We start from the raw sequence: 25,443 nt of genomic DNA on the forward strand, positions 1-25,443 counted from the left end.
TTACTATGCTCTTTTGGAGATGTTATATTTTCCTGATTTTTCTTGTTATTCAAAGGCTTGTCTGTGTATTTGATGGAACACTGACCTTTTCCAGACTTTATGAACTGACTTCTATGAGGAAAGATCTTCACATGCTGGTGAGTACAAGGATGCTAGGTGGGTGGGATGCACAAATTTTGGGGACATTTGCGGGCACCAGTTTCAGGGATCCACAGGGACACTGGTTCTGGGGGCACACAGTAGTGATGGATCTGATTTGGGGTGCATTGACATTTGGTTCAAAGGATATGGGCAGCATCAGATCCAGGGTGGATGGCATCAGATTTGAGGGATGGTTGTGCATGTGGTGGTGCCAGGGCAGGAGGGCAGGGCACAATGGCATGGACTCCGTGTAGCTCAATTAGCTGAGATCTGCATTGGCAAAGACTGTGGGGATTTTCTGTGGTGAAGGCTGTGGTTATCTGTGGCAGTGGTAAGGACCACGGTATCTTTCTATCCTCCTTTTTCACCAGGGGATGAAGTGGCAACCAAGAAGATTTCTCTTGATGCTGAGCTATGCAGGCCTGAGATATGAGGTTACACAGGTAAAATGCTTCCTACTGTTTTCTATGAGGCGATCCTCAGTTTTTGTGCTCCACGGGCTTGGTACAGCTTCTTTATTAGACTCTGGACCTCTCCCAGAGTTATTTTTGGCCTACGAATAGTGGTTAAGTTACTGTTTTTGTAGAAAGACAAGGGCTGAGATTGCCTACTCCACTATCTTGCTGATGTTACATCTACCTAACTCTATTTAGTATTTCCATAGTCTCTATATGTTTAGACAGTATCTATTGACTCTTAGATATGAGCAATGCAGATTTAGTGTATTTTTTCTTCTTTTCCTCCTATTATCTAGCCTACTTACAGCAATATCATATTATTTTTCTTACTGCTTATCCTTATATATTTAATAAATTTAAACTTAAATTACTTGGTTTATTAACTCTTATTTAAAGTTTGACAGAGGCTGCTCATCAAATTTGGTAATATTTATGGATTCATATTATAACTGATAACTTTTCAAAGGATTCCTGGAAATATCAATGGAGAGGAAAATTATGGCACAGTCAGGAATTTTTGCTCATTAGAGATGGTACACCTTCAAGATATAGAATATTACTCTTAATGAATCAAGGGTAGATATAGCATTAACAAAAATCAGGACATCTGGATTACAAATTGATTTGCCTGTAAAAATATATACTTTTGAGCTACTTAGTTAAATCTTTTTTCAAATCTGTAAAAATTTTTTTGTTATTATTATTACTCCCATTAATAATGCATGCCTGGTTTTCTGGATTCACCACAAAAATAGAACTTCCCTTTGCAGAGAAGGGGAAAACCATTCTTTCTGTTTTTTAGTATGTCAGAACAATGATAAGTCACTGATTTCATTTCTTATCCAGTTCCATCATTTTATAGTGACTAAAATTTCTCCTAAATTATGGATGTTGTTTGAGTTTCATTCCCACAATTTTGACTGGTTTTGGTGCTCTAATGTATTTTAGTGTTAAGTTTGGAAGAAATGCAACAAATACTGCTTGAGTATTTGGCCATTTTCTACATAGTACACAAGAACTTTAGTGCATTTATTTTTTACAAACTATTTTTACAAAATAGAGATAGGCCTATTCAACCTATCTCTATTGGGAGCTATAGTGTATTTTTTACTTCCATAAAGAGAAGAGCAAACTTTTACAGTTTTTATTATGTCTCCCTTTTTTTTAGAGTTTTAACTCTAATCAACCACAACATCAGCTGAAATTAAACACAAATCCTTATTATTCAACCACTTTTAGATGTCTAGGGTAATAATACTTTTCTGCTTGAATAGATAATAGGTTTCTTCCACATTTTAATGAATATGACTGATTCACTCATGATTTTAGATTATTATTGCTATATTCATATTAAGGATAACTCAGTTGACTTCAATAGTTGAATATTTAGCTGGTTCCATTAAACAAACTGACGAAATAACTGAAATATTTTTATTTTGAGTTTAAAATGGAAAACAAAACCTACTTTGCATAACTAATTAAAGCTAAAATTTTGAATTGCCTTTCAAGAAAAATAAAAAACACTTGAATATTTTTATGATACAATACATACATATTGAGGCTAAAGTTTCAAATGTAAAAACAACTAATTTTTATAGGACAATTGTATTAATACTTTATATTCATAAATTTTGCCATTGTTGAATCTTCTACATTGTTCAAAATAAGAAAAGGGTAAAGAGAGCAAGTAGACCAAAGAGATGTCTTGCTATGGGCCTTCAGATCTGAGATTTTTATAACATTGCACTTTTTAGCTACCTACTTATCAATAAAATCCTGTAAATCTGATAATACTTATACTGCCTCGTGATCATAATATACATAGCATGCCTGATGCAAACAACTAAAATAAAAAGTGTTATTTGCAATTGTAATAGAGGTGTCATAGGAGTTTTTAGGTTTACCTTTTGGCCTTAGCAATTATAACAGCAGAGATAGGAGGTTATGTATTGCCATCTTCTGGTGAGTTTCATTAACTCCTTGCAGTACTTAGATGGTGGATAAGGTTTTACAATAGGCTCTTTATATGACTGATTTTTCCAAACAAATGCCTTTATCAATAAGAATATATATGTTTATTAAACTAACAATATTAACAGTGATTGAAATAAAATTACCTGTTTTTAGACACAGATGGTTAAGTTTCAAAAGGCTGGGGTTGTGATAGTTTTGGTCATCATTGCATCCTCAGTACTTGATACTTTTATGCCAAATATGGGGATTCAATACACACATGTTGGGTTATATTAATAGGTCTCAATTTTATCTTTATTTGATCTTGACTTTACTTCCCCAGATCAAATGGAAATTTATTGCTGAGTCTGAGAACTCTGGGCTGTTTCAAAATTTTCTGCCCAAATTTTTCACTCTGCTTCTTGTTTCATCCAAATTCTGGATGTTAAAAAGCCCCAGTCTTATATAAAAGGGCTGATTTGCTTTCCTTTCCAAACACCTTATCTCTTCCAGTGTCCAGGTTAAATTCAAGCAGCTGGTTTTCCCCATGGAATATACAGGCAATGCCTGAGATCCCTCCCTAGCTCTGCAGCTTTATCACATTGACTCCTTAATTCTCCATTATGGAAGCTTTGGCCACAGTGACATGTGACTCTTCTGTTCTCCATTACTGTGTTATCCTTCATATATGCCCCTCCTGGCAATTGAGGCACATGACTTTACAGGAGTGCCTTTTTGTGATGAAACTTCTCAGAGAGTGCACATTTTGGTCGTCAAAGCCAAACTTCTTACCATGAACAATATATACTAAATCTGGAGGGATTAAATATCTAATTCATCTTACTCATATTATGTGTTAAAAACAGTGGCACTTCAGTTTAGAAGAACATGCATAAGGTTAAAAACACACCAGAAGTAGATGTTCTGCAGCAGTTTTGCCTTCTTTTTTTCTCTTTAATCTTTTAGATTTATATGCTTCTCTAGCACAGGAAAAATAATTTTATAGAAAAGCTGTTTCCTCACAGTCTTGTAGTAAGAAATCATTTTCCCTTCCCTATTTGATTGTGTCATTATGTTTTCACATATCTTTCTGGTATATTTCCAGGAGGAACTGTATCTGAGATTATTTCTTCCTTTCTATTCTTGCATATTTGTGTCCTTCTTTATTATCTCTGTCTTTTCCGCTTCATACCATTTAAAATTCTCGTTATCCTCTTCCTGACTCACTGATTCCTTTGTGGTTATATATTTTCCTATCCTTGCTTGGTCATTTCCTCACTATTCTGTGATTACTATGATCACAAACATTTTTGGTGTGATACTATGAAAATGAACTGAGCTTATAAGATACGTTTTCTAGAAAATAAAGATTCACCTTTTATGCAAAAGTATGACTTGTGTCTGTGACCACCGACAGCTTTACTGTCTTCTCCTTTGTTAATTAATAAAAACAATAACAACCATAAGTTAATACCAACTATGTGTCAGGCACCATAGGAAGCACCTTTACGTATGTTATTTCTGATATTTATAAACTTCTTATGAGGCAAGCATTTTGCTACCTCATTTTGCAAATGAAGGAACAAAAGCTTAGAAACAAAAAGTAGTATGTCCAAGGTCAGTCAGCAGAGTTAAGATTAGAATCTAGACTTATGTGAGTCTGAATTTTGTGTTCTTCTCATGAGGTTACAGAGCCTTTCAATACTATAGAAGAATATTTCTACTATGTCATTGCTATTTTACAGAATACGGATAACCTCAAATACGTAATACATAATTTCATGGGTAACTTAAAAAAATCTGGTGATTATAAAACAGCACTGTCCAGTAGAGTTTTCTGTGCTGATGGAAATCTGTATCTATGATGTCCATATGGCAGCTGCTAGTTACAAGTGAATGAAAGCTTGCTAGCTACAAGCATATGAAGCATGACTAGCATTACTGAAAAACTGAATTTTAATTTAATTTAGTCTTAATTAACTTACATTTAAATGGACAAATATGGCCACCGTATAGGATAATGTGGTTATAGAATAAACAAGCTTTCTTGTGATTGTTTTATAATTATTCCAGTATTATAGCATCACCGGCCCACTTTCAGGTCTTCCGTTCCGCTCAGCCACTTTGAAACCATTGTTAGAAGGACAGAAAAAATGAATTCTTGACTGTATCCATAGTAATGAGTGTTAATGGCAATCACTTTGAAATGTCAATTTCTAAGAGCAATATTATGGCATCACAATGTATCTTTGTTCATGTCTAGCTTCTTTTCACTTAATGTGAAAAAGGTAACATTTTTGTCTTTAATTGAGACAATTAGCATCAAAGTGTAATGTAAAGGGTTTCCTTTAACACCACTACTTCACAGCTTATTTTCCTTGTTGCAGAGCATCATTTCTTTCTGTCTGTATGTTCCGTGGTTATATGGTGCAAAGAGGCTGAGGTTATACCTTCTACACCCTGGGTTATTATCTCCATGTCAAAAATTACATGTTAACATGTACAGATGCTCTTGGACTTACTCCAATAAACCTATCATAAGTTGAAAATATTGGCCGGGTGCGGTGGCTCACACCTGTAATCCCAGCACTTTGGGAGGCCGAGGCGGGCGGATCACGAGGTCAGGAGATCGAGACCATCCTGGCTAACATGGTGAAACCCCGTCTCTACTAAAAATACAAAAAAAAAATAGCCGGGCGTGGTCGTGGGCGCCTGTAGTCCCAGCTACTCGGGAGGCTGAGGCGGGAGAATGGCGTGAACCCGGGAGGCAGAGCTTGCAGTGAGCCGCGATGGCGCCACTGCACTCCAGGCTGGGTGACAGAGAGAGACTCCGTCTCAAAAAAAAAAAAAAGAAATAAAATTTAAAGTTATGTAAAAATATAGACCCACACAATACATCTCTATCTTATTGTAAAGTGTCCCTTATTTGATTCTTTTCTATTATAAAATTAGTCATTATGTTACAAAAACAATCCTCTAAAAGCTCCCTTAAATCATGAACTCCCAAGTGTTATTAAAAGATTACCATTATTTTTAAGGAAGCATATCTATTGCCTGTATGATACACCTAAAATTAGTTTGATGAGGGTTAATTCAGGTTATAATAATAAACCAGAGTTGTTTCAAGCAATAGTTTGCACTTCAGAGTGTTTAACACAATCTCAGTTAGGAGATGAAAAGTATTTGGAAATTGAGAACTTTGGATTTTTGGGGATTCATTACCCACTAATGTAAACTGTGTGTGATAAAAAAAAAAAAATCACTCCCAGTGGAATACATATCCACTGATTACACACACACTTTCAAGGATATTTCTCTACTGTGTCCTTCCCTGGAATTCCTCTCATAAGGGTGTGAACCAAGTAAGAGGAAATGAGTCTTTAATATGCTTAAAAACAACTACTTCAGCACTGGCTTGCATTTTGCTTTCAAAATTTCAATGACCAGTAAGAGACAGAGAAGAGACTGATGGAAGCAAAAGTCAGAGGAAAAAAAATTCATTATTATATTTACTATGGTACCTTTCCAAAGCTCAGACAGCATTTTTATTGATGACAAAAAAGTACATTCTGTAGACAACGCTATTGGGAACATTTTGTATCTGGACGATTTATCTGAGCCAGTTAGACATATGCTTCTACATGTCATCAATTCCCCTGGAACAAATTGGTATAATAAAGACGTATTTTTTCTTCCTATGGGAAAACGCAAACTATCTTCTTTATTGTTTACCTACATTTTTTCAAGGTAAAATTATTTTAAATTATTCAAAAGCATTAAATCATGCTACTATTCCCATGTAAAAATTAATAATATATGTTCAAATGTAACATTTACTGAAAACATTTTCTACCGTTGTTTTACTGTTTCCTTTTTCTCAGTTTCTACTAGTCATTTAATTTTCAGTGCTATTGCATAAATATAATTTCTACAAAGATACTGATTGAGACATTGAATAAACCCGTTTTGTCTCTGTTAAAGTCCACTACCATTGTTTCATTTTAAATAACTATCTTCTCATATTAATAGCCTGACATTTAAAAAATACACAAGAACTCACTATAATTAGATAATAATTACCATAAAATTAGGTCAAAATAATAGCTAGAATAGCTTAGAGATTTTCTAATACAAATTCTTTCATAAGACATTAATAATAGGACTTTGTGTATATCAGGCACTAATTACAGCTGCTGTATACTGACCTAATGATCGAAATGCTTTAAATGGGTCATTTCATTAGATCACTTCTCAGTTCTGTGTGATGAGTGTTATTGTCACCCCTATTAACAAATGAAGAAATTTAAATTCAGAGAAGCAAACATGGAGGAAAGAGTGGAAGGAATGAAAGAAGGAAATCAGTTGGCAAAGAACCAAGGATGTAAAATGCCAGTGATGTAGTCAAGACACGTGCCAGCTCCTAAAACAAGAATATAAACAGAATATAAACAGAAAAATCATAAATAGTGGTAGGCTGCTGGAAAACTTACTAATAACAGAATGCAAGTTTTAGCTAAAAACTAATTTTTGTTTATTAAACTTTAAGTTCTGGGATACATGTGCAGAATGTGCAGGTTTGTTACAGAGGTATACATGTGCCATGGTGGTTTGCTGCACCCATCAACCCGTCATCTATATTAGGTATTTCTCCTAATGGTATCCCTACACTAGCCCCCCAGTCCCCGACAGGCCCCAGTGTGTGATATTCCCCTCCCTGTGTCCATGTATTCTCATTGTTCAACTCCCACTCATGAGTGAGAACATGTGGTGTTTGGTTTTCTGTTCCTGTGTTAGTTTTCTGAGAATAGTGGTTTCCAGCTTCATCCATGTCCCTGCAAAGGACACGAACTCATCCTTTTTTATAGTTGCATAGTATTCCATGGTGTATGTGTGCCACATTCTCTTTATCCAGTCTATAATTGATGGGCATTTGGGTTGGTTCTAGTCTTTGCTATTGTGAACAGTGCTGCAATAAACATACGTGTGCATGTGTTTTTAGAGTAGAATGATTTATAATCCTTTGAGTATATACCCAGTAATGGGATTGCTGGGTCAAATTGTATTTCTGGTTCTAGAAACTTGAGGAATTGCTACACTGTCTTCCACAATGTATTCGAAGTTCTGGCCAGGGCAATCATGCAAGAGAAAGAAATAATGGGTATTCAAATAGGAAGAGAGGAAGTCAAATTGTCTCTTTTTGCAGATGACATGATTGTATATTTAGAAAACCCCATCATCTCAGCCCAAAATCTCCTTAAGCTGATAAGCAACTTCAGCAAAGTCTCAGGATACAAAATCAATGTGCAAAAATCACAAGCATTCCTATACACCAATAATAGACAGCCAAATCATGAGTGAACTCCCATTCACAATTACTACAAAGAGAATAAAATACCTAGGAATACAACTTGCAAGGGATGGGAAGGACCTCTTCCAGGAGAACTACAAACCACTGCTCAAGGAAATAAGAGAGGACACAAACAAATGGAAAAATATTCCATGCTCATGGATAGGAATAATCAATATCATGAAAATGGCCATACTGCCAAACGTAATTTATAGATTCAATCCTATCCCCATCAAGATACCATTGACTTTCTTCACAGAATTAGAAAAAACTGCTTTAAATTTCATATGGAACTGAAAAAGAGCCAGTATAGCCACGACAACCCTAAGCACAAAGAACAAAGCTGGAGGCATCATGCTAATTGACTTCAAACTATACTACAAGGCTACAGTAACAAAACAGCACGGTACTGGTACCAAAACAGATTTATAGACTAATGGAACAGAACAGAGGCCTGAGAAATAACGCTACATATCTACAACCATCTGACCTTTGACAAACCTGACAAAAACAAGCAATGGGGAAAGGATTCCCTATTTAATAAATGGTGTTGGGAAAACTGGCTAGCCATATGCAGAAAACTGAAATGACCCCTTCCTTACACCTTATACAAAAATTAATTCAAGATGGATTAAAGACTTAAAAGTAAGACCTAAAACCATAAAAACCCTAGAAGAAAACCTAGACAATATCATTCAGGACATAGGCATGGGCAAAGACTTCATGACTAAAACACCAAAAGCAATGGCAACAAAAGCCAAAATTGACAAATGGTATCTAATTAAACTAAAGAGCTTCTGCACAGCAAAAGAAACTATCATCAGAGTGAACAGGCAACCTAAAGAATGGGAGAAAAATTTTGCTATTTATCCATCTGAAAAACGGCTAATATCCAGAATCTACAAAAAAAAAAAAAAAATCAAAAAGTGGGCAAAGGATATGAACAGACACTTCTAAAAAGAAGATATTTATGTGGCCAACAAACATATGAAAAAAAGCTCATCATCACTGGTCATTAGAGAAATGCAAATCAAAACCACAATCAGATACCATCTCACTCCAGTTAGAATGGTAATCATTAAAAAGTCAGGAAACAACAGATTCTGGAGAGGATGTGAAGAAATAGGGACACTTTTACATTGTTGGTGGGAGTCTAAATTGTTATATTTAAGAAGAAATACAAATTAGAACTGACTTTAAAGATAAAAATGAAGCTCTTATGGTTTCCCATAGAAGTGTTCTATTGTAAGGCCTTTGGCACTTGGTAACTAATTATTATGTAAAATGAGCTTTTAAGGCAAATAGAATTTAGTGATACTGGCTTTAGATTAAATTGTTGGAGCCCTTTTTACTGGTTAGGAAAAAGGCTCACTGGAGTTCAATGACCACCAGTGACTCCTTTAGTACCTGAATGTCGACGAGAAAGTCTAGCCCAGGGTCTGGTGTCTCAGAAGAGATTATGGAAGGGGGAAAAAAAAGAGATGCTTACCTCCTTCACTCCTTAGAGTCATTTCCAACATTCCAATTATTTGAGAGGAGGAAAGAGTTCCTGATTCCAACTCTACCAGCTGCCTTGATGTCACGGCAGACAGGCACAGAAAGAATCTGGGCAGGTGATCTGAATGTGAATCCTCATGAAAACAAAACCATGGAGCACCCTCTGGCCAAGTGAAAACCTGAGTGAGGGTGGAAGGGGCGTAGCAGGAGTGGCTGCATTGAGAAGAGAGGACTATGGGCTGCGGTAGCCACTGCACTTAGCACTTTAGCCATCTCTAGTCACTCCCCACTCCCACCTGGTGTCTTCAGCCCTGCTCTCCATTTTGCTCTCTCCTCCTTAGATTTAACACTGTTGTCGTTGTTGCCGTATTTTTACTAACCAAACCTTGCATAGCCTGCTACGTGTTGCGAATCTGGATTCATATCTACTCCCTTATTTAATTCTTGCCATACTCATATACACCAAATATTACTAGAATCCTCATTTTACAGAGAAGACCTATGCTTTATTATGAGTGGATGGGGAGATGGCTGTTGCTCTATGAAATCCCACAAATGCTAGGGTTCATAGGCTTTACTCTGGAGCATGGACCCCCTAGACTAGGTGTCTTGCTTTTCCCTAAAAAGTTCACAGAACCTTTTTGGAAAGGACATCACTTTTTACCTGGGGTGAGGAAGGGGTGGGTGAGGAGGGGTGAGGAGGGAGAGGAGTGGAGAGTGGCAGTAGAGGAGTGGGCTTTGGGGACATGGTATGGGAGAATGCCTGGATACCAGGCTGTCAGATGCTCTTCTCAGGCTGGGGACTTGTAGGGGAAATGGGGAGCAGTCTGCACAAGGAACATACTTATAGTTAATCTCTTTATTTACATTCCCATATCTCACACATACTTTTACTCAAATCAGGCATATTCATGTCCCAAGGTTCTTTGAGGTTTGGCAAGGTAGATGGATTTGATTCCTAATGAGCTTCTCTCTGTCTTCTTTTACTCACCATGCCATCATTCATGTCAGTCTTCAGAAAGCATTGAAATTCCTTACTAAATCCAATTGTGTATTTTTTCTAGTGAATTTCTATACTCTCATTCTTTTTTTTAAATTAAGCTTTTTATTTTGAGATAATTATAAATGTGCATGCAGTTCTACGAAGTAATATGGAGGGATCCCTTGAATCATTTACCCAGTTTCGCCCAATAGAAACATCTTGCAAAACTATAGTTTTGTAATGTGCAACATTACGACTGGGATATTGACATGGATACAATCCATTGATCTTATTTAGATTTTTCCAGCTTTACATACATCTATGTGCATGTGTGTGTGCATGCATTTGCTTATTTCTCTGCAATTTTATCACATGTGTAAGTTCATGTATCCACCAGTCAAGATACAAAACAGTTCCATCACCACAAAGATTTTCTCCTATTGCTCTTGTATAACCACACTTACTTCCCTCCCACCCCCACCCTCCATTCCTAACACCTGACCACCACTAGTCAGTTTTCTATTTCTAAAATTTTGTCATTTTAAGAATGTCTTATAAACAGAATCACGCATTATATAACCTTTTGGAATTGGCTTTTTTCACGCAATATAATTCCCCCAAGATCCAACCAAGCTGTTGCATGGAACTACAATTTGTCCCTTTTTATTGCTGAGTAATATTCCATGGTATGGACATATCACAATTTGTTTGACCATTTACCCATTGATTGAAGGACATGCAAATTATTTCCCATTTGGGGCTATTATGAGTAAAGCTGCTATCAACACTCTTGTACTGGTCCTTTGTCAGATATATGGTTTGCAAATATTTCCCCCAAATCTGTAGCTTTCCTTTTTTATCCTCAGGTTTTTTCCAGAGAGCAAAAATTTTAAAGTTTGATGAGATCTAATTTTTACATTTTTCCTTTTATGGATTATACTTTTGGTGTCTAATCTAAGAATTCCTCACTTAGTCCTAGATTTCAAATTTTTACTCCTATGTTTTAAAAAAAATCCACATTTTTTGGTTATATATTTTACATTCTCATAGTTTTACATTAAAGCCTGCAATTTATTTTTAGTCATTTTTGCACAAGGCATGAGACTTGGGCTGAAATTTTGCTGTTGTTTGTCTGCGGATGTCCAGTTGCTCCAGCACTACTTGTTGGAAGATGACCCTGCACTGAATTGCTTTTGTACATTTATAAAAAAAAATCACTTATGCATATTTGTGTGCTTCTACTTCTGGGTCTGTATCCTGTTCTTTGATCTGTGTGTCTATTGCTCACCAATGCCACATCGTCTTGATTACTGAAGCTATGTAGTTAACCTTAATATTGAGTAGAGTGACTCCTTCAACTTTATTATTATTTTTTGGATTGTTTCAGCTAATCTGTAGCCTCTGCCTTTCCATGTAAATTTTAGATTAAACTTGTCTATGTTTACTACAAATTTTGCTGAGATTTTGACAATAATTTTATGAAATCTATAGATTAATGGGAAAAATTGATATCCTTACTATATTGAGTTTCACTTTCTTTTTAAAATATATTTTCTCCTTAACGTCCATACCAGTACACCCATCTGGGTTTCTCTCTTTTGCTGCTACCTTTATCTTATCCTTCTGCCTCATCTTCCTCTACCTAGATTTTAAGTATCAGTTTCTTGAAGTTCAATCCTAGAATCACTTTTTCCTCTCTATGTGCTCTCAGACTGAACACATCAACACCCATCTCTTCAATGACCATCAAAGCAAAAATAATGACACACACAAAGACTCACTCAAGTTTATATCCACAAGCTACTTCTCTTCAGAACCCTGGACATTATATGAAATTGCCTAACTGAAATCTCTGCTTGAATATCCCAGAGACACCTTAAAGTCAACTTGCCCCAAACTAAACCATTGACCTTTCCAAGAATCTACCCTCATCCAGGTCTCCTTAACCATCATTTACATATGCCAGCAATCCTGTTCTATTGATCCCATCCAATTCTCAACAACATCTGTTCATTTTTGTCTTCTAAATATGTGTTGAATATGAGAGTTTTCTACAGCTCTATTGCCACTAGGTTAGAACATATTACAAAAAATACTTTTCCCAAATGAGTGCAATAGCAGTCATCTATATTTATTTACTTGTTTTCCTCAGCTACACATCCCTCAGTCTAGTTTCCATTCTGCAGACAAAAAACAAAAACAAAAACAAAAAAACCTTTCTGAAATGAAATTATTCCATCTCCCCTCCCCTCACACACATTCTCTTCACTCCTGTATTCCTCCAAATCAATGAACATTTCTCTTAGGATAAAAATAAAATCAATACTTTTAAATGAATTTCTGAGCTCTCTGGAAAGTAAGAGACATGTCCAAAGGCAAAAACAAAAACAACTAATGACAACAGACATAACAAACAATAGGGAACTGAAACTGTAGAAGGAAGCAAGCTCTAAAGTTAGGGTTGGTTAGGAACAAACATTGAAAGAAGGAATTTACAGTCTGGAAAATTTTGATTTGACAGGATATAAGAAAGATAGGCCTTGGGCCAGGTGTGGTGCCTCATGTCTGTAATCTCAGCACTTTGGGAGGCCAAGGCGGGCAGATCACTAGAGGTCAGGTGTTTGAGACCCACCTGGCCAAAATAGTGAAACCCTGTCTCTACTAAAACTACAAAAATTAGCCAGGTATGGCGGCACATGCCTGTAGTCTCAGCTACTCTGGAGGCTGAGGCACAAGAATCGCTTGAATCCAGGAGGCAAAGGTGGCAGTGAGCCGAGATCATGCCACTGCACTGCAGACTGGGTGAGAGAGCAAGACTCAAAGAAAGACAGAAGGACGGAAGAAAGAGAAAGAGAGAGACGAAAGAAAGACAGAGAGAAAGAAAGATGAAAGAAAGAAAGAAAGAAGAAAAAGAAAGAAAGAAGAGAAAGAAAGAAAGAAAGAAAGAAAGAAAGAAAGAAAGAAAGAAAAAGAAAAGAAAAGAAAAGAAATGGAAGGAAGGAGGAAGGGAGGGAGGGAGGAAGGAAAGAAGGGAAAGGAAGGGAGGGAGGGTAGAAGGGAAAGGAAAGAAGGGAGGGAGGGAGGAAGGAAGGAAAGAAAGGGAAAGAAAGAAGAGAGAGGGACAGAGGGAGGGAGGAAGGAAAAAGAAAGAAAGAAAAAGAAGAAAGAAAGAGAAGAAAGAAAGAGAAAAAGAAAGAAGGAAAGAAAGAAAGAAAAGAAAAGAAAGAGAAAGAAAGAAAAGAAAGAAAGAAAGAAAAAGAAAAGGAAAGGAAACAAAGAGAAAGAGAGAGAAGGGAGGGGAGGGGAGAGGAGGAACCTGAAACCCTTGCATCAAGCTGCAATTCTTAACAAAATTCCACCTTAGTGAAAGAGTAGTCAAAAAAAATCTGCCTGTAGGCAAAGAGAGATAATGAGAAAAACGTCTGCTCTGCTCAGCTATAGCTCCAAGGCTTCCAGAGAGCTGTTTTCCCTGAGAATTTGTAATCATTGATCTGCCCTCATGCTGTATGGGCTTAAAATTTACAGCACCTGTGGAAAAACGCTACACCATGATAACAATTAAAGTGGTCCCAGGTTGGAAGGACACTCACCGTCAGCAGAGAGAAAAATGCAAATCTATTCTAGAGGAAAGCAGCCTCAATCCTGCCACTCAAGATTCTCATAATCTTCAGCCAAACATGAACTTACAACTAAAAAAAGGACCAAATACATGAGGAAGTAAGTAAGTATGAATGAAACTCGATTAAAAGGACAAAAAACTACATTTACATCCTAAGAACTTGGAATCAGAATCAAAATTAACTCCAACGATTATGCATGAAATGTTTAAAGAAACAAAAGACAATAAAAATGAGCAGGGAACAAATGACTCCAAATATGACCCAAGGTGTGTCTATGAAAGAGACCTTTAAAATGTGTTCCTCATTAATAAGTAAAAAACGGTTGCACTCACCACAGAAAGCTATTGAATTGAATAACTGCCATACAACAGACCAGATGTTCACACAGAAAAATGGATGGGACTGAAAAACACAGTGCCATGTGGAAAAAGGTAAGAGACAAAATGAAGCTTAAAGTACAATGATGCCTATTAAAAATGTATGCATTCAAACCCTCTATATGTTTTAGAGGATCATTCCAAGTAAATGATACATAGGTCACACATTAGAATAATGGTTGGAGTGTAATGCCCAACCTGGTTTTTACTAACCCTGTTTTCAGACTTTCCCTCTCCTTTAATCACCTAGCCTTGTTTCCACCTGAATTGACTCTCCCTTCGCTAAAAGAACCAGACAGACTCCATCTTGGCTCTTTCGTTGGCAAGCCCTTCCTCAAGGACTTAACTTGTGCAAGCTGAATCCCAGCACATCCAAGAATGCAATTAACTGATAAGATACTGTGGCAAGCTATACCCGCAGTCCCCAAGAATTCGTCTGATTGGTAACGCCCAAAGCCTCGCGTCTATCACCTTGTAATAGTCTTAAAGCCTCTGCACCTGGAACTGTTTACTTTCCTGTAACCATTTATCCTTTTAACTTTTTGCCTACTTTACTTCTCTAAAATTGTTTTAACTAGACCCCCCTCCCCGTCCTAAACCAAGATATAAAAGTTAATCAAGCCTCTTCCTCCGGGCCGAGAGAATTTTGAGCGTTAGCCGTCTCTCAGTCGCCGGCTAATAAAGGACTCTTAATTCGTCTCAAAGTGTGGCGTTTTTCTAACTCGCTCGAGTACAACAAGAGCAAAGGAAATAGAAGTGCTGAATGAGGATGAAAGGAGTAAATCAATAATAATAAATGATGGGTGAAAATAAACACAAAAGAATGTTAGAAAGCATGAACTGATGATGAAGCATCTTATGAAGGGATGAGTATGGCCAACCCAATCCTCTAAGTCTAAGGACCTCTGCCTGAAAAAAGCAGCAAAATTAAAGGACATCCCCAGATCAGCACAACCCACTACTTTACTGGCTCTCACTCTATGAAAAATGTGCAACTACCTAGAGAAACAGGTCACAGAAACAATCTGTCAGGCCTCTGAGCCCAAGCTAAGCCACCGTAACCCCTGTGACCTGCACGTATACATCCAGATGGCCTGAAGTAACTGAAGAATCACAAAAGAAGTGAAATGTAAATGGCCTGTTCCTGCCTTAACTGATGACATTCCACCACAAAAGAAGTGAAAATGGCCGGTCCCTGCCTTAACTGATAACCTTGTGAAATTCCTTCTCCTGGCTCATCCTGGCTCAAAAGCTCCCCCACTGAGCACCTTGTGACCCCACCCCGCCCGCCAGAGAACAACCCCCCTTTGACTGTAACTTTCCTTTACCTACCCAAATCTTATAAAAACGGCCCCACCCCTATCTCCCTTTGCTGACTCTCTTTTCGGACTTAGCCCGCCTGCACCCAGGTGAAATAAACAGCCTTGTTGCTCACACAAAGCCTGTTTGATGGTCTCTTCACATGGACGCAAGTGAAACAATCCTTTGCTGATGAATTCCATTTAGAGAAGTATGGGGTAAGTATAGTAGATTGTGAAATAAAATGATTTTTAATGAACATTTTAATTCTCAGATGAAGATACTTTCTAAGTTTGCTCTAATATTTCATTCAGAAGCCTTCAAACTGTCAATAAGGCTATACTCCATTCTCTCAAGAATCAACAAACTTTATCATGCATCATTAAATATACATTGTTTTTATTATATTTGTATAAGTGTATAATAGAAAATTACTAGTATTATTTTAATTTCAATACTTAATTTTATTAAGTTAATATTCAATAATCAAAATAGTTAATAAGTCATACATCATATCAATTATTGAATAAACAAGGTAAATATGATAGTTATTAAGTAACTATTTTATGCCAGAGAGACAGTGTAAGATTTTTAAAATATGAAGGAGACACACAGCATGCATCATGATCTGAGGAGAAAAACTCAACTTATGGAAGGCATTTAGAAAATAATCAGTTAGACAATTTCATAATTAACTAAAATTTCAACAGGAATTCAGAAAAGGATAAGAAAAGGTTTTATGAAAAATGGAGCTGAAGCTAACTCAGGAAAAAGGCAATATATGGCTAGGCGTGGTGGCTCATCCCTGTAATCCCAGCACTTTGAGAAGTTGAGGCCGGTGGATCACTTGAGTCCAGGAGTTTGAGACCAGCCTGGGTAACAAAGTGAGAGCCCGTCTCTACCAAAATACAAACAAACCAAAAGCTGGATGTGATGGCCTGCACCTGTAGTCCCAGTTACTTGAGAAGCTGAGGTGGCAGGATTGCTTGAGCAGAGGAGGTCAAGGGTGCAGTGAGCTATGATCGTGCCACTGTACTCCAGCCTGTGTAACAGAGCGAGGCCTTGTCTCTATTTTGTTTTTTTTTTTTTTGAGACAGAGTCTCACTCTGTCCCCCAGGCTGGAGTGCAGTGGCACAATCTCGGCTCACCGCAAGCTCTGCCTCCCGGGTTCACACCATTCTCCTGCCTCAGCCTCCCTAGTAGCTGGGACTACAGGCACCCGCCACCATGCCTGGATAATTTTTTGTATTTTCAGTACAGACGGGGTTTCACCGTGTTAGCCAGGATGGTCTGGATCTCCTGACTTCGTGATCCGCCCGCCTCGGCCTCCCAAAGTGCTGGGATTACAGGCGTGAGCCACCATGCCCAGCCTTTTTTTTTTTAAAGCAATATGTGAAAAAGTAAGGAAAAATAGAAAAATATGCACAAGAATATGCTACACATTTACAGAAATGTAAAAAACACAAAATGAGACTTGAAAATCTAATAACATAATTTTTAAAAATTTGTGATCACAGCCAGGTCAAAGGAAGTAAAAGCCAATGATGCAGTGAAGAAACCAAAATCTTCAGCTCTTTTTTCTTTTTCTAGTTAAGGATACAGATCTTTAGACTGAAAGGGGAAACTAAAGATTGAAAAGAAAGAATTGAAGTCTGGTGTCTCAAAAGACTATATATTAATATTTAGCTGCTTCAAATCAGTAATATCTTCTGGGTCTGAGCAATTGGGATTCTAGCCTAATGAGAATTTGAATATCAATCTATCAAATGTAGGTTTAGAAAATCAGAGCAACTCGGAAACTTTTTATTTTAAAAATGAAATTGATTTCTAAAATTTAATATAAGTATTTGCCATCAATCCTAATGGGTTTTAGAATGAGTTTTTAAATAAATGACTTAAGGGGTATTCAAGAATGAACACTATTTTTCAGATGCATTTTGGGAACCTGTATTATTTCAATACAGCAAATCATGTCATGCTAAAGCAATTTTCTTATTAAAATACGCCTAGGCCGTAGGACCCCTACTATAAACTATGCTCATATGAGCTAAGTCAAATATTCATATGAGTGAGGGAAAATCAGTGAAGCATCACTACTCACCCAGCCGTAGTGAATTATTCAGGCCCTACCAGGTGGCTTCCTGCTGTGGCTTGCATGTTTGCCCCCTCCAAAACTCATGTTGAAAATTAATTGTCATTGTAACAGTATTAAGAAATGGAACCTTTGGGTCCGGGCGCGGTGGCTCACGCCTGTAATCCCAGCACTTTGGGAGGCTGAGGCGGGCGGATCACGAGGTCAGGAGATCGAGACCACGGTGAAACCCCGTCTCTACTAAAAAAACATACAAAAAATTAGCTGGGCGCGGTGGCGGGTGCCTGTAGTCCCAGCTACTCAGGAGGCTGAGGCAGGAGAATGGAGTGAACCCGGGAGACGGGGCTTGCAGTGAGCCAAGATTGCGCCACTGCACTCCAGCCTGGGCGACAGAGCGAGACTCCGTCTCAAAAAAGAAAGAAAGAAAGAAAGAAATGGAACCTTTAAGCATTAATGAGGTCACGAGGGTTCTGCCCTCATGAATGGGATTAATGCTATAAAAGGGCAAGTTCACTCCCCTCTTTCACTCTTGCCCTTCTACCTTCTGCCATGTTGAGATGGGATTATTCCCTTGACCCTGACCCCCTTCGTGGGCAGGAACTAGAGAGGCTCATTTCACTCAGCTGGCCGCTGACCACTCCCCTTTAGAGGGAGCTTGAAAGTAAGCAAGTACCGAACCTGAGGGAACGCTGGAACCTGCGGGTCGCTCCTCTCTGGCGGAAGCAGGCTCTGAGCAGGCCCCGCAGAAGCACCCAAGCCCCTGCCCTCTAGACACCCGGGTTCCTGTCTAGCATCCAGGAAGAATCAGATTACATGAATGGATTGAAGGGTGGTGTATGTGGAGGATTTTATTGGGTGATGGAAGTGGCTCTCGGTGGGACGGGAGTTGGAAAGGGGATGGTACGGGAAGAAGGTGATCTTTCCCTGAAGCTGCACCATCTGAAGTCAGCCACTTGTATCCCCACCGCTCAGCAGCTTGTGCTGCTTTGCCAGCTGAAGTCTTTTCATGGGCACAGGATAGGGGTGTGGCCGGCCAAAAGGGCAACATTTGGGCAGAAAAATGGGGTCAGCTGTTTTCACTTAGTTCCAGGCTTATGTGTTGGGGGGGGGGGTTAGCTGGGAGCACAGCAGTTCTTTATCAATGTGATGATATAGGAAGAAAGCTTTTGCCACATGGCGATGCTTTTTGATCTTGGATTTAGCCTCTAGAATTCTGAGCCAATAAAATTCTGTTCATTATTTATTACCCAGGCTCAGGTGTTCTGTTATAGCAGCACAAAACATACCACAACAGTCTCAATGCCTGTCCCATCACCATGAGTGCCAGATCATCTCCTCTCCCCGAATTTGGTTATAGTTTGAGGACATGCAAAGGAAATATTGAACAGTCTATTTGATGCAGTTATTGGGCAAACCCAAGCAATGAATGAACTCTTGAACTCAACCATGAAAGAGCTCTTAAACTCATGCAGACATATGGAGTAAACTTTGATGCAAACTTTAATATTTGCATCAAAATGTTAAGTAGTTGGATATTGATTAATTTACCTTTGCATTTCATTTAAGTTATAAATAAATTTTTTTTCACTTTTTCTATAAATATTTCATAAAAAACTGTAACTCACATTTGTGGCAGATCAGTGTATGGTGGATATGGACCTAAATATTTTTATATGTGATAACTCATTTAAACCCTTACAGCAATCTTATAATCAGTAAAGATACTTGCTTAAAGGTGAGGGAACAGAGGTACACAGAGACAAACTTAACTTGTTCAAGGTCATACAAAAGAAGTGGCAGGGCTGTGATTCAAATCTGCACAGGGATCACACTCTTAACCGCTATACTAGATTAAATCTGTAATATAGTATCCATAGGTTGAAAAAACATGTTACTTTAAAGAAAAAAAAAAAAGCTTTCTTCAGACATAGTAGATAAAAATTTTAATTTCCAAAATCTGTTTATCTTCAAATTTTATTTTTTATAATAAAGACATTTTAATTGATTTTTTAGATATTTCCCTCCCAAATTTTCAAATCTATTCTAAACAGTTTTGAATGTTTCTTCATTTCTTTCAAGTGACAGTAAATGAAGTAACACTTTTATTTTTAAGTCAAACAAGAGTATCTAGAGTTTCATTTCCAAGCACTTTATAATAAATTCTTTATTACTTACTTAGCAAGTGATCTATACACTTTAAATTTGAGGTAACTGTAAATAGCAAATCAATGACAGCAAACAACTCAGTGCACATGCATGTTTGAATAGCCTTTGAATATTTCCCCAATTTGATAATTTTTTGTTCAGTATGGCTTCGACTCTTGTTTTGAATATACAATCCATCAAAGTTTTACATATTATGGTGATATCATCATATCTATCACATAAAAGCTTGGTTTGCTAAGATAAGTTACTTCTATAAATTCTGTATTATCCAGTCCATTGTTAAGCACCAGTAAATATTATGGTAGGGCAGATATAGTTTTGCTTACTGTGACACAGAACCCAAATAATAGTGGTTTAAAGAAGATAATAGTATTTCTTTCTTTCTTTCTTTTTTGAGACAGAGTCTCACTCTGTGCCAGGCTGGAGTGCGGTGGTGCGATCTCGGCTTACTGCAACCTCCACCTCCCGCGTTCAAGTGATTCTCCTGCCTCAGCCTCTCAAGCAGCTGGGACTACAGGCGCCCACTACCACGCCCAGCTAATTTTTGTATTTTTAGTAGAAACGGGGTTTCACCATGTTGGCCAGGATGGTCTCGATCTCTTGACCTCGTGATCCACCTGCCGCGGCCTCCCAAAGTGCTGAGATTACAGGCGTGAGCCACTGCGCCTGGCCAAGAAGATAATAGTATTTCTTACTATTATTTATTACTATGTAATGGCATTGGTAGGAGATCCAGACTGGATGGCACCTCCAATTATCAGGAACCGGAGCCCCCTTCTTTTGGTTCTACCATTCTCAACTTGTTGCTATCATTTCATGGTCCTAGATGGCTGCCCAGCAACTTCCACATCATATGCATTCCAGCAAGAAGAAATGAAAAATGCAGGGAGAGGGGTTATTTATCCTAACGTTAAGTCAGGACCAGGAAGTGGCCCTTGGCACTTCCGTTTATGTCTGATTGGCCAGCACTTAATTGCCTGCTGCGCCTGGTTCTGTGGGATACTGGAACGTTAGGCTTTAGCTGGGAGGCTATGCAAGAGTTAAAATTCCATTTTCCGGGATACGAAGAGAATGCTTTTTGGAGGTACAATGAGCAATTGAACCTCATGAACTAATAATGCATCACATTTTCTTTTTAAAGATAATAACTCAAGGTACACATTAAAATTTATTTGTAAAAGGTGTTAAAGTAAAAATCCCCCTTAACATTCCACTCCATATCCATTTTCCTCCACAGACTTAATCACTGTTAACATTTTGATGCTTTCTTCTTTGTATTTTCATGTAATAACATATCATATTTACTACGCACCTATTCAACTGCCTTTTTTAACCAAATAAAAATGTTATTACATAGTCTGGTTTTTCATTTAACTATATGTCTTAGAGATTGTCCTATTTTGTTTTGTATGGTTTTATCTAAATCTACTAAGCTGATGCATAGAATTTGACAGTGTAGTCATACCATATATGATTTAACTGGTCCCCATTAATAGACATTTAGGCTGTTTCTAATTTGTTTGCAATTCAAAAATTTATTTCACAAAGATACTGAATTTTATGACCAGAGCCTGTGTTATAGTAAACTGTGGGTATATTTCTATGGAATAGATCTATTGAGAGCAGTTTATGCATCAAAGTATATATTCATTTAAACATTCTTGCATATTTACTTTTTCATGAGAACTTTGGAAACATCAAATCCAATAAAATACATTTTCTTAACAAAACCTTTGTAAATTAATCTTTGGTATTTTTGAAGGCTGATGTAATACCTCGGTTCTTGTCTTTTTAGTTTAAAAGGATTCAAACAAGAGACACACAGCAAAAGAAGTGTAGCATAATTTATTGCAAAAGAAAACAGTATTTTGAAAGCTGAGTGCGGAATAGGTAGCGCACCCTGAGAGAGAGAGAATTCAGGGCAGGAAGCTCATAAGGATGGGACAGCAAAGACTGGCACTAGGGATAGCCATGATTATTCATAAGGAGGTGGAAAGAGGTGTGACTAGAAAGCATGTTCTAGGTGGTCCTCGGGGTGCACATGTGCAGTAGCTGTACATGTTTCTTCATATGTAGCATGTCTCATCAGCATCTTAAATCTCCACCCAAGGGTGTCTTTTTTACTATTAAAATGAGCAAAAGGTCAGTTTGAGGACAGATAAAATCAAAATGAGCATCCTCTCTAGAGGGGAAAGTTCCTACTGAAGATAACTGTTCTTGAATGAGCTCAATTACAATGTGAATGCTGAGACTTATTGTGTTGACTGCACGGTCACCACAGTGACCTGAGAATATGGTCACTTCCTTGACGGACCTATCCTGCCTCAGTATTACTTTGAATATAATGGAAGAAACATATCTTTATGTGATTTTCCCATTCCAAGAGCATAGTGTCTTTTTTTTATAAATTTAAGTTTTCTTTCATGAACAATTTCAATTTTGTCATTTTCTTGATATAGGTATTATACAATAAAAATTAAGTATCTCCTTAAGCATTTGATTGTTTTTCTTATTACGATGACTATATTCTATTACACTTTCAGAAGCCACAGCGTGGCTTAGCTGATTTTTCTGCTCCAGGTCTCATAAGACTAAAATCAAGAGGTCAGCAGAGCTGTACCCACTACTCAAGGTGCTGGAGAAGAATCTGTTTCCAAGCTCATTCAGGTTGCTGTCTAAGTTCAGGTCCTTGTGACTGCAGGACTAATATACCCATTTCTTTGCTGGCTGTCAGTTGAGGGCTGCCCTTGGCTCCTATAAGCCTTTTTCTGGTCTTTGCACATTTTGGAACCAGCCAGGGCATGCTGGGAATCATCTCTCTGCCTTCCATGTGGCGCTCTCTCATGCTCATTCTCTCTCTCTTCTCTTCCACCACATCTCTCTGACTCCAAGCAGAGGAAGTTCTTTGCTTCTAAGAGTTTATGTGATTAACTTGAGCCCCTCCTGCCCCAGATAATCCAGGATAATCTCCCTTAATTACATCTGCAAAGTCCCTTTTCCATGTAATGTGACATTCACAGGTTCCAGAAATTAGGGAATGAACATCTTTGGGAAGTCATTCTGCCTAGTACGTGTGCATACTGACTTTTTTTCCAATTTTAAGTTCATGTTTCTTAGAATTTATCTCTGGGAATTCTTTGATACCTTGATTTAAAGTGTGCTTCTTTTTTTTTTTTAGACACAGTCTCACTCTGTCGACCAGGCTGGAGTGCAGTGGCACCATCTCGGCTCACTGCAACCTCCACCTCCGAGTTCTAGCGATTCTCCTGCCTCAGCCTCCTGAGTAGCTGGGATTATAGGCACACGCCACCATCCCCAGCTAAGTTTTGTATTTTTAGTAGAGATGGGATTTCACCACATTGGTCAGGCTGATCTCAAACTCCTGACCTGATGATCTCTCCGCCTCGGCCTCCCAAAGTGCTTGGATTACAGGCATGAGCCACTGCAACCAGCCTAAAGTGTGTTTCTTTAGAAAGTTTATTTCTCAAGGCATGTTGGTCACTGCTAATGCCACTGACTAAACTATAGTTGCAGCCTGAAGTCTCACAGCCGTCCTCAGGGTAAATATCACCTCAAACAATTTTTGTCAACTTTATTAAGATATAATTGACAAATAAAAATTTTATGTATTTAAGGTGATATATTCATGCATTATAAAATGATCACTGCAATCAAGCTAATTAGCAGATCCATCATTTCACAGCTACCATGTTTTTCTTTCATGAGAACTCTTAAGATCTACCCTCTTAACAAATATCGAGTGTACAGTACGGTATCGTTTACTATAGCCAAAGCTGTACATTAGACCTCCAGAACTTACTCATCTTGTATAACCAAAACTTTGTGCTCTTTGACCAACATCTCCCATTTGCCCTTCCTTCAACCCCTGGCAACCACCATTCTGTCTGCTTCTATGAGTTTGACTGTTTTATTTTATTTTATTTACTTATTTTTTGTTTGTTTTTTTGAGACAGAGTCCCGCTCTGTCACCCAAACTGGAGCACAGTGGTGCAATCTCAGCTCATTGCAACCTCCACCTTCTGGGTTCAAGTGATTCTCCTGCCTCAGCCTCCCTAGTAGCTGAGATTACAGGCGTGTACCACCATACCAAGCTAATTTTTGTATATTTAGTAGAGACAGGCTTTCACCTTGTTGGCCAGGCTGGTCTTGAACTCCTGACCTCAGGTGATCCTCCCGCCTCAGCCTCCCAAAGTGGTGGGATTACAGGCGTGAGCCATTGTGCCCAGCCAAGTTTGACTATTTTAGATTCCACCTAAAAACGAGATTATACAGTATTTGTCTTTCTTTAGCTTATTTCACTTAGCATAACATCTTCCAGGTTCATCTCTGTTGTCACAAATGCTAATATTTCCTTCTTTTTAAAGGTTGAATAATATTCTTTTGTATATATGTGCCACATTTTCATTACTCATTCAGGTGTCAATGGACATTTAGGTTGTTTTCGTATCTTGGCTATTTTGCATAATGCTTGCAATGAACATGGCAGTGCAGGAATCTTTTTGAGATACTGATTACATTTCCTGTGGCTGTGTACTCACTAGCGGAGTCGCTGGATAATATGGTAGTTCTATTTTTTATTTTTTAAGGAACTTTCATACCATTTTCCATAATGGCTGTACCAATGTACATTTTCACCAACAGTGTACAAGGATCCCAATTTCTCCAAATCCTCACTGATACTTGTTTTCTTCTGTCTTTTCGATAATAGCCATTCCAACAGGTGTGAGGTGATATCTCCTTGTGGTTTTGATTTGCACTTCCCTGATGATTAATCATGTTGAGCACCTTTTCATACACTTGTTGGCTGTTTGTATGCCTTCTTTTGAGAGATGTCTATTCAGATCCTTTGCCCATTTTTAAATCATGTTATTTGGTTTTTATCGTTGCTGTTGTTTCAGTTCCTTACATGTTTTGGATATTAACTGCTTCTCAGATACATGGTTTGTAAATATTTTCTCCCAGTCTGTAGGTTGTCTTTTCAGTCTGTTGATGGTTTCCTTTGCTGTGCAGAAGCTTTTCAGTTTGATGCAATTCCATTTGTATAGTTTTGCTTTCGTTGCCTGCACTCTTGATGTCATAGCCAACAAATTTGTTGCCCAGACCAGTGTCAAGAAGCTTTTCCCCTGTGTTTTCTTTTTAGTCTTTTGATGATTTTAAGTTTTATATTTAAGTGTTTAATCCATTTTGAGTTGACTTTTGTATATGGTGTGAGATAAAGGTCCAATTTCTTTCCTCTGCGTGTAGGTATCTAGTTTTTCCAATACCATTTGTTGAAGAGACTATACTTTTTCATTATGTCTTCTTGGCATTCTTTTCATAGACCACTTAATTGTAGGTGCATAGATTTATTGCTGGGCTCTCTATTATCTTCTTTTGGTCTGTTTTTCTGTATTTATGTTAATTCCATACTGATTTGATTACTGTTTCTTTGTAGTATATTTTGAAATCAGGTACTGGAATGCCTTCAGCTTTGTTCTTCTTGCTTAAGAT

At 37.8% G+C, this 25,443-nt stretch overlaps 1 long non-coding RNA gene across 1 annotated transcript in view; it reads left to right on the top strand.

Annotated features, from left to right (window-relative positions):
* Positions 1 to 21,288, top strand: part of LOC105378061 (uncharacterized) — a 30,866-nt gene extending 9,578 nt beyond the window's left edge. The window contains exons 3-5 of the long non-coding RNA XR_001744416.2: positions 56 to 137; positions 513 to 584; positions 20,334 to 21,288. This is a non-coding gene — a long non-coding RNA (uncharacterized LOC105378061). The remainder of the gene's footprint in view (positions 1 to 55; positions 138 to 512; positions 585 to 20,333) is intronic.
* The last annotated feature ends 4,155 nt before the right edge of the window (positions 21,289 to 25,443 follow it).

Source organism: Homo sapiens, chromosome 6 (assembly GCF_000001405.40).
Source record: "Homo sapiens chromosome 6, GRCh38.p14 Primary Assembly".
NCBI classification, from domain to species: Eukaryota; Metazoa; Chordata; class Mammalia; order Primates; family Hominidae; genus Homo; species Homo sapiens.